Genomic DNA, 16,135 nt, shown 5'->3' with positions numbered 1-16,135 from the left:
AGGTCAAAGCCAAGGTCTTCTCCTGTTCTGGAAGGACATCAAGCCATAGACAGAATGCTGGGTTCCTGGTGTGACCTCTGACAAGTCTCTTTGCCTTCCTGGGCCTCAGTTTTGTCATCTGCCAAATGGGAGGGCTGGACTCACTACTCCCTCGGACTCTGTTTAACTCGAGCATCCTGCAGGGGACCTCAGCCTGGGGCAGGTGGGGTCAGAGGGCAGATGGCCAGGAGCAGAGCCAGATGGGAGCAACAGCCTTCCCTCTGCCAGGACGGGGAGACCTGGCTGCCTCACAGTGAGAGGTCTGGTAGCCAGGGAGAGCAGTGGGGACAAGGGCCTGGCCAGGGCTGGTCATGGAGCACACTACCCCCACCACAGCTGCCCCTGTGCTGAAGACAGCTCCCAGGGTGGTGAGAGTGGCATCCTGACCCCAGCAGCGCCTGTAGGACTGGGCACCTGCTGTCCACCCACCCCCTGCCCCTTGCTCTCCCTTCCTCGCCCAATCCCAGGAGCTCAATGCCTGCTCAGGGCAGGAATAAGAGGCAGGGGAGGGGCGAGGAGAGGAAGGGGTCACTGGGGCCTTGCTGATCCTTCGTGGGGCCTCCATGTCCCCATCCCTCACGCAAAGCGCCAACTCCGAGGCCGAGCATTTCATCGAAGCGAAGCGTCTCCCGCCGGCATCCTCGGAGAGGTGCTGCGGCGTTCCGTTTCTCCTTGAGGCTAAGGAAGGAGAACACAGAGCCGGAGTGGAGAGCGATCTGCCGTCCCTGAGCTGAGCACGCCCACCGTGTTGGGGATTGATTGCTTCCATCCTTCAGCCCACTCTACGGAGCACCCACCGTGTGACAGGCGCGGCGCTGGGCACCGAGGACAAGAAAATGAATAGGCCATGACATGCGCGCCTGAGAAGTCGCAGAATCAGACGGGAGACAGACCCGATGCCACACACCAAGCTCTGGGTGCACGCAGGGCACTGAGTCACCCTTGTGGGTGAGGGGGTTCCCAGGGCACTCGAAAACTGACAACCGACAGAGTCTGGAAGTAGCCTGGAGGGGAAAGGGCATTCCTGGCGGGGGCACAGCAGGAGCAAAGGCCCAGTGACACAGAAAGACCAGGGAGTGTTGAGGGAACAGAGAGCAGCTTGGTGTTGGGGCGGCATCGGCGGGTGGCGCTGGAGCCGATGAGAAAGGAGAGGCCGACTGCGGTTCAGGTGGCCAGGACCTTCTGTGCCATGCTCCGCCAGTTACAGCCAGCAGTGGTGGTAAGCACAGCCACCTGGCATTGAACAGTGACGGTGTGGCCAGCACTGTGCTAAGCTCATCTCAGTCATTCTCTCACCACATCCTCCAATGAGCCGGTGAGGCCCAGAGAGGTTAGGTGAGTTGCCGGTGGTCACACAGCCGATAGTGGCCAGGCTGGAACTTGGACTCAGGCTCCCAACTCTCAACCACCAGCATGTACTGCCTCTGAAGAGTTTGGGATTCCCCTTCAGGGCAACTGGGAGCCACGAGGGATTTTTAAGGAGGGTGGGTAGCACAGTCTCAGTGCCCTAAATCCCCAAGTCACGCTCGTGGAGAACCCACTGCGTCCACCTGGGAGACGTGGCCAGTCTGTTTTCAGGGTCTGAGGGTTACTTTGGCCTCCCCGGGAGCTGCCCTGGTCTGCCATGCTCCTCCCTGAGGACTGGGGCTTGGCCTGCGTCTTCTACCCCAGCCCGTGCTGCTCCTGGGTTCAAGCCTTGCGGCCAGGGGTCACTGCTGCCATGGCCTCTTCAGAACCCAGGTGCCCACCTGTCAGGGTCTCAGCCCCTCCAACACTCTCTGGGGCCCCCACATTGCCCACCCTCTTCCCTCCCTTCCTTGCTTGGGGATAGCACCTGGGATGTGGGGTGCACAGGGAAGCGCCCCCTGACGGAGCTGGACAGCCCTTGGGAAGATCCAGCAGCGGTGGCCTCTCTTCACCCTTTCCCACATCCTCCCGGCTCCCTCTGCCCACCTAGCTTCCATATGGGGTACTGGATCATTCCTTCCCACCATCTCCCCTCCAGGGCCCCGCTTTCATTCTGCTCCCCCCATCCAAGGTCTCAGCATTGCAGGTATCACAAGACTGTGGATTCCAGAGGCCCCACAACACTTCCACCCTCCAAGCACCCACTGAGCATATGGAGAAGCTGAGGCCCAAGCAGGGCCAACGGCAGAGCAGCTGGAAGCCCAGCTCTCCTGTGCTCTCACCGCAGCTCCAGCTCCTGGTCAGCTGCCCACCAGGCATCTGCTGAGCGCTATGTGTTTCCATATAGAGGCATCTCACACTTGATCCTCACTCCAGTACAGAGCAGCCTGGGTTAAAACAGGAAGGCTGGCCTGTCCAGCTCTAGCTCCTAAAAATGCAATGAGTCCCATGTCGGCATCTCTGCCTTGCAAACAGGTAAAATGAGGCAGGCAGTAGCTCAATGACTTGCTGTCCCCGGTCATGTGTCAGGCAACCACAGTCACAAGGGTCTCCTGTCTGAAATCCTGCCTATTTTTAGTGTTAAGGCCAGGAAATGCGTTACTATAGACTCCTCTCCCTGTGTCCATGGCAGACATTACTAATTGATCACAGCACTCTCTTCCTGTAAGCCCAGATGTAGTCTCAGAATCCTCAACACAGCCTCTATCAACTGAGGAGCTGGCAATCAAGGTGACACCTGTTCACTGCCCTCCCTGCACGGTAGGGTCCAGTCTTATCTAGTATCTTCCCAGCACTTGGCTCAGGGCCCAACACATGGCACAGATCACAATAATAAACTTTTTTTTTGTTTTGTTTTTTGAGATGGAGTTTTGCTCTTGTTGCCCAGGCTGGAGTGCAGTGGCACAACCTCGGCTCACTGCAACCTCCGTCTCTGGAGTTCAAGCGATTCTCCTGCCTCAGCCTCCCAAATAGCTGGGATTACAGGCACCCACCACTACGCCTGGGTAATTTTTGTATTTTTAGAAGAGACGGGGTTTCACCATGTTGGCCAGGCCGGTCTTAAACTCCTGACCTCAGGTTATCTGCCCGCCTCTACCTCCCAAAGTGCTGGAATTACAGGTGTAAGCCACCATGCCTGGCCACAGTATTAAACTTTTTTAATTTTTTTGAGATGGAGTTTCGCTCTTGTTGCCCAGGCTGGAGTGCAATGGTGCAATCCAATCTTGGCTCACTGCAACGTCTGCCTCCCGGTTCAAGGGATTCTCCTGCCTCAGCCTCCTGAGTAGCTGGGATTACAGGCATGCGCCACCACACCCGGCTAATTTTGTATTTTTAGTAGAGATAGGGGTTCTCCATGTTGGTCAGGCTAGTCTCGAACTCCTGACCTCAGGTGATCCGCCCGTCTTGGCCTCCAAAAGTGCTAGGATTACAGGCGTGAGCCACTGCGCCTGACAGTGATAAACTTTTACTGAGTGGTTGAACAAATGGTAACCACCGAATGAATGATGTCTCCCAAAGCCAGTGGCTCTAAGCAGCTTCTTTTGTAGCAACAACATGACAGCAATAATTATAACAGTAATGCCCCCAGCAGCTGACGTTTCCTGAGTCTTTAAGGTATTTCATCTGAGCTGATGGACAATTCTGGGATGCCATTTCCCCAGGGTCACACATCATGGGACAGAGCCAGGCCCCGCCCCTGGTCTCCTGCTTCTGAGTCCAGTGCTCTGCCCCAGCCCCCACCTCTGCTAGTCCCACTGCAGCTTGTCTGGGTCAGTCAGAGTGGACCTGGACCTCAATCCGGGGACCCTGCAGGTGTTGGAGGCAGATCCCAGGGCCCAGGGTGGGAATGGGTTCTCAGGGGAGTAGTTAGTTGGATGCTTCCTCACCTGCTTGGAATTGTAGAAATACAGAACAGGAGATGCCACAATGCACCACCTTTGCCATGACCTGACTCCCCCACCCCCAAAATTCATATGTCAAGACATAATCTGCCCCAAGCATGGTGGCTCACGACTGTAATCCCAGCACCTTGGGAGGCTGAGGCAGGTGGATCACCTGAGGTCAGGAGTTCCAGACCAGCCTGGCCAACATGGTGAAACCCTGTCTCTACTAAAAATGCAAAAATTAGCCAGGCGTGGTGGCACACACCTGTAATCCCAGCTACTCGGGAGGCTGAGGTGGGAGCATTGCTTGAACCCGGGAGGCGGAGGCTGTAGTGAGGCAAGATCACACCACTGCATTCCAGCCTGGGTGACAGAGGGAGACCCTGTCTCAAAAACAAACAAACAAAAACAAACAACACCATTATCTGCAATGTGTATTAAGAGATGAGGTTTCTGGGAGGTGATTAGGTAATGAGGGCTCCATCCTCATGAATGGTATCTATGCTTTTAGGCAAGAGGCCTGGGGAGCCTGCTCGCCCCTTCCACCATGTGAGGACAAGGCTATAAGGCACCATCTGTGAGGAAAGGGCCCTCATCAGACACCAAATCTGCAGGCACCTTGATCTTGGACTTCTCAACCTCCAGAAATGTGAACTATAAACTTGTTTATAAATAACCCAGTCTAAGGTCATAGCAGCCGAATGGACGAGGACACCCTTTTTTGAACAGGTAGAAGAGAGTGGCCTCCAGGGAGTGTGATCTGCCCAAGGTCACCTGGCGAGCTTGGCTGAGGAAGGTGTGCAGAGCCCAGTGTCAGAGCCCCCGAGACGCCCTCTCCTCTCCTAGTGCCCTGTGCACTTGGGCTTAGTTGTTTTGCATCCTTTTGAGAATGTGAGTCCCTCAGAGGGAGGAACCTGGGCACGTCACATAAGGCTTGGCTCAAGACGGGTGCTCAGTAAACACTGGGTGGACAGATGGGCAGAAGGAAGGAGAGAAGGAAAGGAGGAAGGGAAGGAGGGAATGGGTGAGTGGATTCATGGATGGATGGATGCATGGAAGCCAGGGAGGGAGGATGAGTCACTGGGAGAGGATGGATGGAATGGAAGGATGGATGGATGGATGATGGGTGAATGGATGAAAGGAAGCAAGCCAGCATAGATGGAATGAGTGATGGAATTGATTGTCCCCTGCACCTGGAGGCCTCCAGTGACTCAGCCACAGAGGTCAGGAAGCTGGAGACGTGAGCAGGCGGCTCACCCCATGGTCCCCTCCCCCTCCCCCCCCCCCGATATTTTCATTAGGACACATCTGCTGCACCTGGCCCCTCGGCCCCTGCCCTGCGAAGCTGCAGACGCCTCTGCTGGCTTTATTAAGGACCTATTAACCCAACGGCTCCAGGCAGGGCTAACGATGCTGTCACTGCAGATGCTGGTTTGGTAGAGAGCCTCAGAGGGCCTCAGTAGGGAGGGCCAGGAACCTAGGGTTACAGCGAGGTCTTTAGAGCTGCACAGGCCTGCCTGATTTAATCCCAGTTCTGCTAATTGGCTGTGTGGCCTTGGGCAACTTACTTCCCTTCTCGGAGTGGGAGCTTCCCCACCTATAAAAGGGTCATAATGTGCTTGTTTGAGGATTCACTGAGCTAAAGCATTACAACACCTAGCCCAGAGTAAGAACTTGTTATAACCAGCAGCATATCCGAGGACCCCCCGGGAGCCAGGTCCAGGGTGGAGCGCTCACACACAGCAGCCCCCATCTTTAGGACCAGGCAGGTGCTGTGACCCACCCTATTTCATGGATGAGGAAACTGAGGATAACAGGAGATGAAGTGCTTGGCCAAAGCCACCGTGCCAGGCAGTGACAGGGCTGAGATTCAAACGTGGGCCGTGGAGACCGTGACTGGGCCACGTCCTGCCGGCTACTGAGCAGGAACAAAGGCCGGGGCGGGAGGGCGGGGCTGGAGGGGTGCTTCTCCCACCAGCTTCTGGAGGTGACAGCACGGAGGAGGGGAGGGGAAGCTGGGACAATCTCGCTGATTTACGGCTTCCAGCGGGATTAACTGCACCATCTGGAGGCCACGCGTCCACCCGGGTGTGTTAGGAACCCCAACCCTTCGGTGTAAATGGCAGGGGGAGACACGGTGGATGGCCGATCAGCTGTGAGCCGCCGGGTTGACTGTGGGGACCATGTGGGGCCCACCTGGCTTTCTTCAAGCCACCATCTACCCCTGAGGATGTCTCCCACTGAGGGGGCTGGATCTGCACCAGACTCAGAAGATTCCAGAATGGCTGGATCCAAGGGTTCAAATACAAAGGGAGGGCTGTGGCCGGAGCCACCGAAAAGTACAGGGGGTGAGCAGGAAGGGCAGGGGAACAACAGAGACAGGAGCAGCAGCTGGACACTCGCTCTCAGGGGTGTGTGACAGCGACTGCACCATCTTCCAGCTGTGTCCCCAGCAAGTGACTTCACCTCTCTGAGGCTCTGCCCCTTCATCTGTGAAAGTGGGATCATCGTGGTCTTTACCTCACTTGGTTGTTTTGAGGGCAGAATTAGATAAGGAAATGTACAGACCTCGGTGGAGTACCTGGCACTGAGTAAGTTCACAATCAATGGTGGTTGTGATTATTATCCCCATTTGCCAGATGGGAAGACTGAGGCTCAAAGCAGCTCAGGGACTTGCCTCGGATTACACAATGGGTTGGTGGCAGAACCCCTGGCCTCGGCTTCTCCTGACCCCAGTCCAGTGCTCCTTTCCTGGAGGCTGGACCAAAGATGAACCTGCCTTGGGACACAGCCAGCCCCAGAGTGTCAGAGACCCAAGGTGGCCATCCTGGGTCACACCAGCTCCAATGACAGCTTCTATGTTCTAGCACCTACTGTGCACCAGATGCCATGCCACGAGCTTGTGTGCACCACCTCCAGGAGCCATCACCACCTGTGACACGGGCACTGCGCTATCCCTGTTGTCCAGATACACAAGCTGTGGCTTCGGCAGAGCCGGGATCCACCGCCAGGACTGTCTGGTCCTGGAATCCCGGTTCTCAGCACAGGCTACTGCTGGGCCAAGGTGGGGCTTCTCTAGACTGTAGCGACAGCTCCCAGGCGCCTTCTCCCTATGTGTTCATCTTCTCCTTCAAGGAGAGACGGCAATATGGCACCCAGACCTCCACCGTGGATCCTAAGTCTTCTGGACACCAGACAAGTTTCCCCTGCAGGGCGGGGTTCCTTTCTCACATCTGGAAAAGGGGGGTGGGGGAAGGAGGGAAGAAGAAACATCAGCCCTAGCCCCTCCCTCCCTTCAGCCAGCACAGGGCCGCAGTGGGGGCTCAGGCTGCTAGGCGATGGTGGCAGGAAGGAGGTTTGAAGCATGCGGTCCCCCTTCCCCGCACACCCTGTCTACATTCCCATCTGGTCAGCCTGCTCGCTGAAAGTTGAAGTCCGCCTTGTACAAAAAACAAAAGCCTCCCCTTTCCAATGCAGAAAGCCCCAGAGACCGGGGCCACTCCGCTTGCCTTCTCTCTTGGCCAGTGTGGCCAGGACAGGGGCCGGGGAAGTGACAGCTGCCCTGCTCAGGGGAGAGAGATCCCAGTCCTGGCTCGGGTCCTCTCTGGGGCCATACCCCAGGAGCAGCTCGCGGAGCCTGTCCCCGCTGACTCCCACCGGCTCCCGCCTCGCCCGGCAGCCCAGGCCCCGCGACCCCTCCCCCTAGGACCTCCCAGCCTGGCCATCCGAGATGACCTTTGCCCCTTCCCCACAGAAGCCCAGACCTCTGACCCTTATTAAAAACAAACCAAACAAAATCTGGAGAGAAAAAAAATTCTCCACAAACACCTGAGAGATGATCGCGTGTCCCCGGCGCACGTACACACACACACGAGCACACACACCCCAGCCTCAGACACGCGAGGCCGCCTCCACATAAACACGCTGCTGGAGGGCGGGTTTTGTTTATGAAACGTCCAGGTTTCTCTCAACTTTGGGACGGGTGTGGACTGTTTCAGAGTTTTCTGCGGGATGAGGGAGCCTGCGGGCGGCAAGGATGTATTTTCTGCTTTGTGCTCTTTGCTGGTTCAATCCGGGGAGGGGGATACGTGAACAAAAGGACCAGGAAACCCAGGAAGGGGGCCCCGGGGCAGCACCCCCACCCCCAGGGGAGGTCGGGCTCCGGGAGGGCAGCCCCGGGGCCTGGGAAGCCCGGACTGGGCCTGAGCTCCGGAGGGCAGGGCTGCTAGCCCGTGTCCCCTCCGCGTCCCCGCGCTGGGCCCAGGGTCTGTCGCTTCGAAAACGTCTGGGACCGCTGGGCCGGGGTTCCTGCCCCCTCCTCTCCTGGCCTACAGCGCCTGGAAACCAAGGAATCCGCCCGGAACAATGGCAGGGCGGCTTTCCAAAGGCAAACAAGGAACGATTTGGCTTTTCCTTCCCCCGGCCCCCGAACCACCACCTAAGCGGGCGGCAGGGGCAGGTCTGGGGGTCCAGGTGGCCCCGGCGCGGCGACGGGACACACCCGCGACGCCCTCGTGGGCCAGGCCCCGCTGCGCATGCGCGGGTTGGGGCGCAGGCGGCCGCGGCCGCCCGCGCAGCCTCGCTCTGGCCCGGTCTCCGTGGCAACGGGCTGGGGGGAGGGGCCGGGCGGCGCGGGCCGCGGTGGCTGCTATTTCTGCCGCTTCCTGTTCCTCGTGGCCACGTCGCCATGGCAACGGTGTTACTCACCGCGGCCGCTTCCCGGCTCGGCTGGCGCGCGTGACCCCGGCCGCTCGCGCCCCCTCGTCTCTCACTTGCTGTGTTTTCCCCTCTTCCCCCGGGCGTCCTCCTCCTGCACCCCGGGTCCCCCAAGCAGCGCGCCCCGGTGCCCCCCACCCTTCCCCCTCCTCCCCGGTGCCCACGGCCCGGGACGAGGGGGAGGGAGATTGATGGGGGACGCTTATTAAAAAACATTGTAACCGTTTCCGTTTTTATTACGTTGACAAGGGAGCGTTATTTACTGTTATTGTTTGCCGAGCGGGCCGCGCCGGAGCTCGGGCGGCCCCCCGGGAGCTCACCTTCAGGCCGCGGCGGGCGGGGGCCGGGGCGGGGGGCAGGGCGAGAGCAGGGGGCGTCGGGCGGCCGCGCACCCCGGGGCCCTGCTCCTCGCCCCTTCCCCCGCCACCCCGTCCGGGCCCCGCGGCGGGGCGCGTTGGCGCGGGGAGGGACTGCAGAGGCCCGGTGACTCGCGTTGAAGGAGAAAGGCAACAAAAAATAAAAAAGGAACAGATGACTTCATTCTCGGGAAGGCTCCGTCCTACACGGACCAATTTCCTGGGGACTGTGGTGGAACAGCCCTGCTGCCGTTGGAAGCACTTAAAACTAAACCAGATAAAGACCAGAACATTCTGGGCCCTGCTGAACCAAGCCAGGGCAGGCTGCCGGGGCATGCAATTTCTGGCCACATGGGGAGGTGGGTGGCCTCCCTCCACCCTCAAAGGGCGCCTGGCTTCCAGTGTCCCAAGATTGCGGGTCCTGTGGGGAGGTGTCCACCGGGATCAGATGGGCCTGAAGGACGCCCCCAAGCCCCTGCTGGGATGTTAATGTCATCCTGCTAATTAAAGTTTGTGATTCTGTTCCTAACTCAGCTCCCCACTCTTGGACATTATCAGCTCAAATGCATACAGTTGCTGCTCTGGACAGGGAAGCCAGAGGAAAAAGCCTCTGCAGTGCACACCATACCATGGGTTCAGAAAAACAAATGTTGGCCGGGCACGGCCCGCCTGTAATCCCAGCACTTCGGGAGGCCGAGGCAGGAGGATCACTTGAGGCCAGGAGTTTGAAACCAGCCTAGTCAACATGGCAAAACCCAGTCTCTACTAAAAATACAAAAATTAGGCGTGGTGGTGCACGCCTGTAATCCCCGCTACTAGGGAGGCTGAGGCATGAGAATCACTTGAACCTGGGAGGTAGAGGTTGCAGTGAGCCAAGATCATGCCACTGCACTCCATCCTGGGCAACAGAGCAAGACTCCATCTCAAAAAATAAAAATAAAAAAGTGTTTACACTTACAAGCAACTCCTAGTGAACAACCCAGGTTTTGGAAACAACTTTCAGAGACCCCTTTAGCCTGTTTCATGTTTTCTTTTTCTTTTTCTCTTCCAAGGACATGCGGTTAGCCTTTGGTCACGGAGACCTTTGCCCTTTCAAGATAAAGTGATCTTCAGCTCTCTTCCCAGCACCAGCCGCTCTCAGCTGCACAGCCCTCCCTGAATGTGTGAACCAAAGTCACTGGTTCCAAGAAGAAAGAGCATCCTCCATCCCCACCCCACCCCCACCCCCACCCCACCCCACTCCCACCCCATCCCACCCCAGCGCTTGTGGAGTGTAAGACAGAGGTTCCCAGCCCTGAGATACGGACAGGCATCGGGCAGGCCTATACCTCCCTCCACGCCGAGTCACCAGCACTCACCCCACAGGCTGACCGTCCACGCAGAGCTGGTGGTGGGTTCAGAGGGTTTAGCTGATGCGAGAGTCGGAGCCCTGGGCAAAGTTTGTGACAAAATGACAGTAGACACCCAGTGTTGCAGAACCCCAGATCTGGGAGGACTTCGGAGATTACCCAGACCAACTACCCCCACTTCTTGTTTTACAGTTGGGCAAACTGAGGCCTGGAGAGGGGAAGGAGATGGGGCTAAGATGCGCCACCAGCTGGTGATAGAGCCTAGATGGGACCGTGGCGCTGTGCCTTCCATTCAGGTGCTGGTTGCCCCACTCTTTCATCTGTGGAATTATCTGTATGATCAGAAGTTTGGGGCTGGGGGCAGGACAACTGTCAGTCAGGGGCCACTGTCGCCAGAGTGCTAGGGTTCAAATCCTTCCTTCTCAGCGAAGCCTTGGGCCAGCGAGTTCTTCTCTCCAAGACTTGGCCTCTTTATGTGTTAAGTAATGGGGGTAATAACTGACCCTGGGCCGGGCGTGGTGGCTCACGCCTGTAATCCCAGCACTTTAGGAGGATGAGGAGGGCGGATCACTTGAGGCCAGGAGTTCAGGACCAGCCGAGTCAGCATGGTGAAAACCCATCTCTCCTAAAAATACAAAAATTAGCTGGGCGTGGTGGCGGGCACCTGTAATTCCAGCTACTTGGGAGGCTGAGGGAAGAGAATCACTTGGACCTGGGAGGCAGAGGTTGAAATGAGCAGAGATTGCGTCACTGCACTCCAGTCTGGGTGACAGAAAGAGACTCCGTCAAATAAATAAATAAATAAATAAATAACAGAGCCTGCTCTGAGTTTGTCTTAAGGAAGAAAGGCCATGACGCAGGTGAGGGCCCTGGACTGACCTGGTACTTTCTAGAACTTAACTGATGCAACCATGGCGATGCTGGTGGTGGTGGTGGTTGTAGTGGGTTAAATGGTGCACCCCCCAACCAAATATGTCCACACCCTAATCCCTGGAACCTGTGAATGTGACGTTATTTGGAAAAAAGGGTCTTTGTTGATGTCATTAAGTTATGGATCTTGGGAGGAGGTCACCCTCGATGACCTAAGTGGGGCCTAAATGTCATCACAAGTGCCTACGGAAGAGGAGAAGCTGTGTGTAGACGTAGGCAGAGGGTGGAGTGATGCAGCCACGAGCCAAGGAGCACCTAGAGCTGCCAGAAACTGGAAGCAGCAGGAAGGGTCCTCCCCGAGCCTGCTGAAGACCTTTGGCCTTCAGAACAGCAAGAGAATCATCTGTGTTGTTGTAAGCCACCAGGTTTGTAGTGATGTGTTCCTCAGCCGTAAGGAAGGAAACAAATACAGGAGTGTTGAGGTTGAGGATGAGGATAGGGTGATGATAATGATGGTGGTTGTGATGTTGATGGTGGTGATGGTGATGGTGGCTGTGATGTTGATGGTGGTGGTGATGCTGATGGTGGTGGTGATGGTGATGGTGGTGGTGGTGATGGTGGTGATGCTGATGGTGGTGGCGGTGGTGATGGTGATGTTGGTGGTGGTGATGCTGATGACGGTGGTGATGCTGATGGTGGTTGTGATGTTGGTGGTGATGCTGATGGTGGTGGTGGTGGTGGTGGTGATGCTGATGGTGGTTGTGATGGTGATGGTGGTGGTGGTGTTGATGGTGGTGGTGATGCTGATGGTGGTGGTGATGTTGATGGTGGTGGTGATGTTGATGGTGGTTGTGATGCTGATGGTGGTGGTTGTGATGTTGATGGTGGTGGTGATGCTGATGGTGGTTATATTCTCCTGCTAGAGCCGTCTGACGGTTCCAGAGGCCCGAGGTCCACAGTAAGGGCGTGGGCAGGACCATGCTGCCTCTGAAGGCCCCGGGGAAGCCTCCGTCCCAGGCTTCTCTCCAGCTTCTGGCAGCCTTGGCGTGTGGCTGTGTCACTCCTGTCCTCCGGTCCTCCCATCCTTCTGCCCTTCATCTTGACGTCATCTTCATTCTGCCATGTCTGTTCACCTTTCCCCTTTTTATAGGAACCTCACTCTTATTGGATTAGGGCTCCCCAACGACCTCACCTTAACCTGGTTACCTCTGTAAAGACCACACAAAGCCGCATTCTGAGGGACTGGAGTTAGGACTTGAGCCTATCTTTTTTTTTTTTTTTTTTTTTTTTAAGACGGAGTTTTGCTCTTGTTGCGCAGGCTGAAGTGCATTGGCGCAGTCTCGGCTCACTGCAACCTCCGCTTCCTGGATACAGGCAATTCTCATGCCTCAGTCTCCCAAGTAGCTGGGATTACAGGCACCCGCCAACATGCCCAACTAATTTTTTGTATTTTTAGTAGAGCTGGGGTTTCACCATTTTGGCCAAGCTGGTCTGGAACTCCTGACCTCAGGTGATCTACCCGCCTCGGCCTCCTAAAGTGCTGGGATTACAGGCATGAGCCACCGCGCCTGGCCGAACCTATCTTTCGGGGGGACACAATTTCCCTCACAATAGTGGTGATAATGGAGGTGATGGCAGTTGGTCATGGAGGTGATGATTGTAGTCATGGAGATGACAGTGACCGCCATGGTGATGGTCCTAGGCCTCAGTCCTGGACCCCCAAACCCTGCAGCTGCTCCTTGGGGTGCAGTGGTTAGTTCAGAGGGTCTCTGGGGGTCCAGAGCCTGTTCTCAGCGGTGGAGAGCAGGGTTGGATTGTCAGCTGAAGGAGCAGAGAGGTGAGAAAGAAGATCCCAGGGTGCTATTGCCAAGTTAGTGTCCCTTTTGCACCCTTCTGAAGCTCTGCCAGCCACCAGCGGTAAGATCTGTGCAAGCCCTCTAACCTCTGTCAGCCGCTGGTTGAGACGTGGGGTTGTGGAGGGAGCCCCTCAGCCCCAGGCCTCTGGGAGTCTGGGATGGCACCCGGTGGAGACATGGGAGCTCAGCCGCCTTGGCCAAGAGGGCGTCCATTGGGGTGAGAGGACAGCGAGGCTGGGGGGCAGGTATGGGTGAGAGAGCTCTCCCTGCTTCTCTGCACCTGACTTGTCCCTGTCACGTGCAAGCCCTTGCTATTTTTATACACAGCTAAGTCAGTGCTTGTCTCTGGCCCCACCCCGCTGCCAGAAACCTCCCAGAGGGTAGGGACCATGATCCGAACGTCTTTGAGTTGCCCAGAGCATGACCAGGTCCTGCACAAATGCAGAGTGAACCTGGACTGTTTTTTTCTGGAAGAACAGCAAGTGCCTCCCTTGTCCCTCCATCTGGGCACTACGGAGATAAGACCGGAGAAGCCAGCTGCTTTTGGATGGGATCTTTCTCTGCCAGGCCCTGGGCTACCCAAGGAAGCTGGGCAGAACCGCAAAGTCAGCCTGGCCTGGCCTTTCTTCTGGAGCCCACGGAGCGTGGTAACCATGGCAGCAGGAAGACAGAGCCCGGAGGACAGAAAGCCCACTGGTCTTTGGTCTTTGACGGAAGCCAGGCAGGAGCAGGCCACTGTTTGTTGTTGTTGTTTTTTCTTATTAGACATAATCACATCAACCCTCTCCTCAATCTATCTTCCTCTAGTTTTTGCCGACCAATAATGGTAATAATAGTCATAGTTAGCATTCATTCGTTTGTCCAATCAATATTTATGAGCACAGACTCTTGCCAGGCACTCTTCTATACAACAGGAGACATTGAACAGAAAAGCCAAGTTCGAGCCTTTTCAAGGCTGACATTCTGGGAAAGAAAGACAAAGAACCAGGAAACTAATGCTAGGATCCAGGGAGCAGGGTGAGGGGCTAGAGCAGAGAACAAGAGGGCTGGACTTTGGACAGGGAGGCCAGGGATGTGAGGAGATGCCACTGGAGCTGAGACCTGGGTGGAGGGAGGGATTGAGACCTGTGGGGAGCCCGGAGCAGAGGATCAGGGCTGGAGCAGCAGGTGCCAAGGCCCTGGGGTGGGTGTGCCCAGTGTCCTAACTCTAAGGACACCTGAAGCCAGGAAGCCAGGGAGGGTGAAGGCAGAGGCAAGCCCAGGGTCAGTGTGTGTGTCTGTGTGTGTGTCTCTGTGTGTGTGTGTGTGTGTTGAGGCAAGGCCTCGCTCTTTCACCCAGGCTGGAGCACAGTGCTGCGATCTTGCTCCCTGCAACTTCAACCTCCTGGGCTCAAGCAATCCTACCACCTCAGCCTCCCGAGTAGCTGGGACTATAGGCACATGCCACCATACCTGGCTCATTTTTTAATTTTTTGTAGAGATGAAGACTCGCCATGTTGTCTAGGCTGGTCTCGAACTCCTGGACTCAAGCGATCCACCCCCTCTTGGCCTCCCAAAGTGCTGGGATTACAGGCTTGAGCCCCCGTGCCCGGCTTGATTTGTGTTTTTAAACAATCTCTGTGGTTTCTGAGTGAGAATAGACTGAAGGGGCTGGAGGGAAGTCTGGGGAACTGATCAGAATTCTCAGCCAGGAGCCGACAGAGCCCAGAGGGGAGATGGTGGTGGCCTGGTCGGGGACAGCAGCAGTGGAGATGAAAATGGCTGGATTTCAGATATATTGTAAGTAGAGCCATCAGGATTTGTAAAAGGATCAGATGTGGATGTGGAAGAAAGAAAAGCACCAAGCCTGACTCCTGTGCCATGAACAGTGGGAGGTCTCATTTCCTGGGATGAGGAAGACTACAAGAGAAGCTAGGGTGGGGCTGGGGTTGGGGGCGGTCACTGTACCTCCATGGCCTTCTCAAAGCCTCAGGCTGAGGGCCTTGCGAGACCAGCCCTCGCTCCCTGCTTTGGTTCACATCCTCCTGCTTCCCCCTGGCCTGGCTTTCCTCCTCTTCGTGGCTAGTTTCTGTGGATGTTCAGCCCCCTCAACCACTCCCTGGCACTGCCAATCCATCTCTCTCCCCTCCCCTCTTGCTTTCCCCCACCAAAACATCCTGTGGATGGTGTTCCCTCCTCCGGGAATGCCATTCCCGCTGCCCTTTGCACTGCTGCTCCTGAGACCCCATCAAGAGTTGGGGTCTGCACAGGTTATGCTCAAAAAGCTCACGTGATGTTCACATGTGACACACTTGCAGATATCGAATACTCCCTGAAACCACTTATCCACATAACCACCCTAAGAGGTAGGCACTATGATCATACCTATTTTATAGATGAGGAAACTGAGGCCAAGAGAGGTTAAATAATTTGCCCAAGGGTCAGACCTGATGAGGATACGAACCCCGGCAGTCTAATCCCAAAACTCACACTCTTGTTTCTTCCATCATTCATTCCCCTGTTCTTTCATCCATTCATTCACCATTGCGTGCACTGTGCGCTAGGTCTTGCTCTAAACTCTGGTACCTTCCATGGTGTACACTGTGAGGGCACTGGGGAGGCAACGGCAGGCAGGCCAGCCCAGGCCGAACCTGCATGGAGCTAACTTTCCAAGGAGGAGACAGGCAAGTGACCTGCAAAGAGAAACACGGTGACCTGAGAGATGCATGCGGGCTGGGCTAAGTGCAAAAGCGGAAGGGAGTCACCGGGCACGCCCTGCAGGGAGGTGGGGCTGCCTCGGGGGAGGGAAGGAGTCTCAGGAGCAGCCATGCAGAAAGCAGCGGGAATGGCGTGCCCAGCGGAGGGAACGGCCTATGCAAAGGATCTCGTGGTGGGAGAGCAAGTGGGGAGGACACGGTGATCTACTGGTAGTGCCGGGGAGTGGCCAGGGGCTGAGCCAAGGAAACCAAAGCAAGGAGGGAGGGCACTGGTCCCGCAAGGCCCTCAGCCTGAGGCTTTGAGAAAGACATTGGGGTACCGTGACCCCTAAACCTGACACATCCAGTGCTGGCTCCCACCCCAATGCAAACCACAAGAAAGACTGCCAAGACAAGACCCTGTTGCCCAAGAGGGCCCCAGCCCACACCGGGTGAGGAGGCTGAGCCCCCAGCCCTGCTCCC

General features: G+C 56.5%; 8 annotated features.

Annotated features, from left to right (window-relative positions):
• Positions 5,485 to 5,984: an enhancer, noted in NCBI's record as "H3K4me1 hESC enhancer chr9:132178577-132179076 (GRCh37/hg19 assembly coordinates)". NCBI's record gives its function as "activates a minimal SCP1, AML or CMV promoter by ChIP-STARR-seq in primed H9 embryonic stem cells {active_cell/tissue: H9 hESC(primed)}" and the evidence as "EXISTENCE:reporter gene assay evidence [ECO:0000049][PMID:30033119]".
• Positions 6,578 to 7,397: an enhancer, noted in NCBI's record as "H3K27ac-H3K4me1 hESC enhancer chr9:132177164-132177983 (GRCh37/hg19 assembly coordinates)". NCBI's record gives its function as "activates a minimal SCP1, AML or CMV promoter by ChIP-STARR-seq in naive H9 embryonic stem cells {active_cell/tissue: H9 hESC(naive)}" and the evidence as "EXISTENCE:reporter gene assay evidence [ECO:0000049][PMID:30033119]".
• Positions 7,979 to 8,118: a silencer, noted in NCBI's record as "silent region_20377". NCBI's record gives its function as "represses an Ori minimal core promoter by ATAC-STARR-seq in GM12878 lymphoblastoid cells {active_cell/tissue: GM12878}" and the evidence as "EXISTENCE:reporter gene assay evidence [ECO:0000049][PMID:35858748]".
• Positions 8,259 to 8,468: a silencer, noted in NCBI's record as "silent region_20376". NCBI's record gives its function as "represses an Ori minimal core promoter by ATAC-STARR-seq in GM12878 lymphoblastoid cells {active_cell/tissue: GM12878}" and the evidence as "EXISTENCE:reporter gene assay evidence [ECO:0000049][PMID:35858748]".
• Positions 8,579 to 8,748: a silencer, noted in NCBI's record as "silent region_20375". NCBI's record gives its function as "represses an Ori minimal core promoter by ATAC-STARR-seq in GM12878 lymphoblastoid cells {active_cell/tissue: GM12878}" and the evidence as "EXISTENCE:reporter gene assay evidence [ECO:0000049][PMID:35858748]".
• Positions 8,769 to 8,848: a silencer, noted in NCBI's record as "silent region_20374". NCBI's record gives its function as "represses an Ori minimal core promoter by ATAC-STARR-seq in GM12878 lymphoblastoid cells {active_cell/tissue: GM12878}" and the evidence as "EXISTENCE:reporter gene assay evidence [ECO:0000049][PMID:35858748]".
• Positions 13,978 to 14,272: a silencer, noted in NCBI's record as "tiled region #9976; HepG2 Repressive DNase matched - State 4:PromP". NCBI's record gives its function as "represses a minimal TATA promoter and a strong SV40 promoter by Sharpr-MPRA in HepG2 cells {active_cell/tissue: HepG2}" and the evidence as "EXISTENCE:reporter gene assay evidence [ECO:0000049][PMID:27701403]".
• Positions 15,446 to 16,049: an enhancer, noted in NCBI's record as "H3K4me1 hESC enhancer chr9:132168512-132169115 (GRCh37/hg19 assembly coordinates)". NCBI's record gives its function as "activates a minimal SCP1, AML or CMV promoter by ChIP-STARR-seq in naive H9 embryonic stem cells {active_cell/tissue: H9 hESC(naive)}" and the evidence as "EXISTENCE:reporter gene assay evidence [ECO:0000049][PMID:30033119]".

This window comes from Homo sapiens, chromosome 9 (genome assembly GCF_000001405.40).
Source record: "Homo sapiens chromosome 9, GRCh38.p14 Primary Assembly".
NCBI lineage: Eukaryota > Metazoa > Chordata > Mammalia > Primates > Hominidae > Homo > Homo sapiens.
Note: the sequence above shows the minus strand (reverse complement) of the source record. Positions and strands in the feature narration are given on the sequence as shown.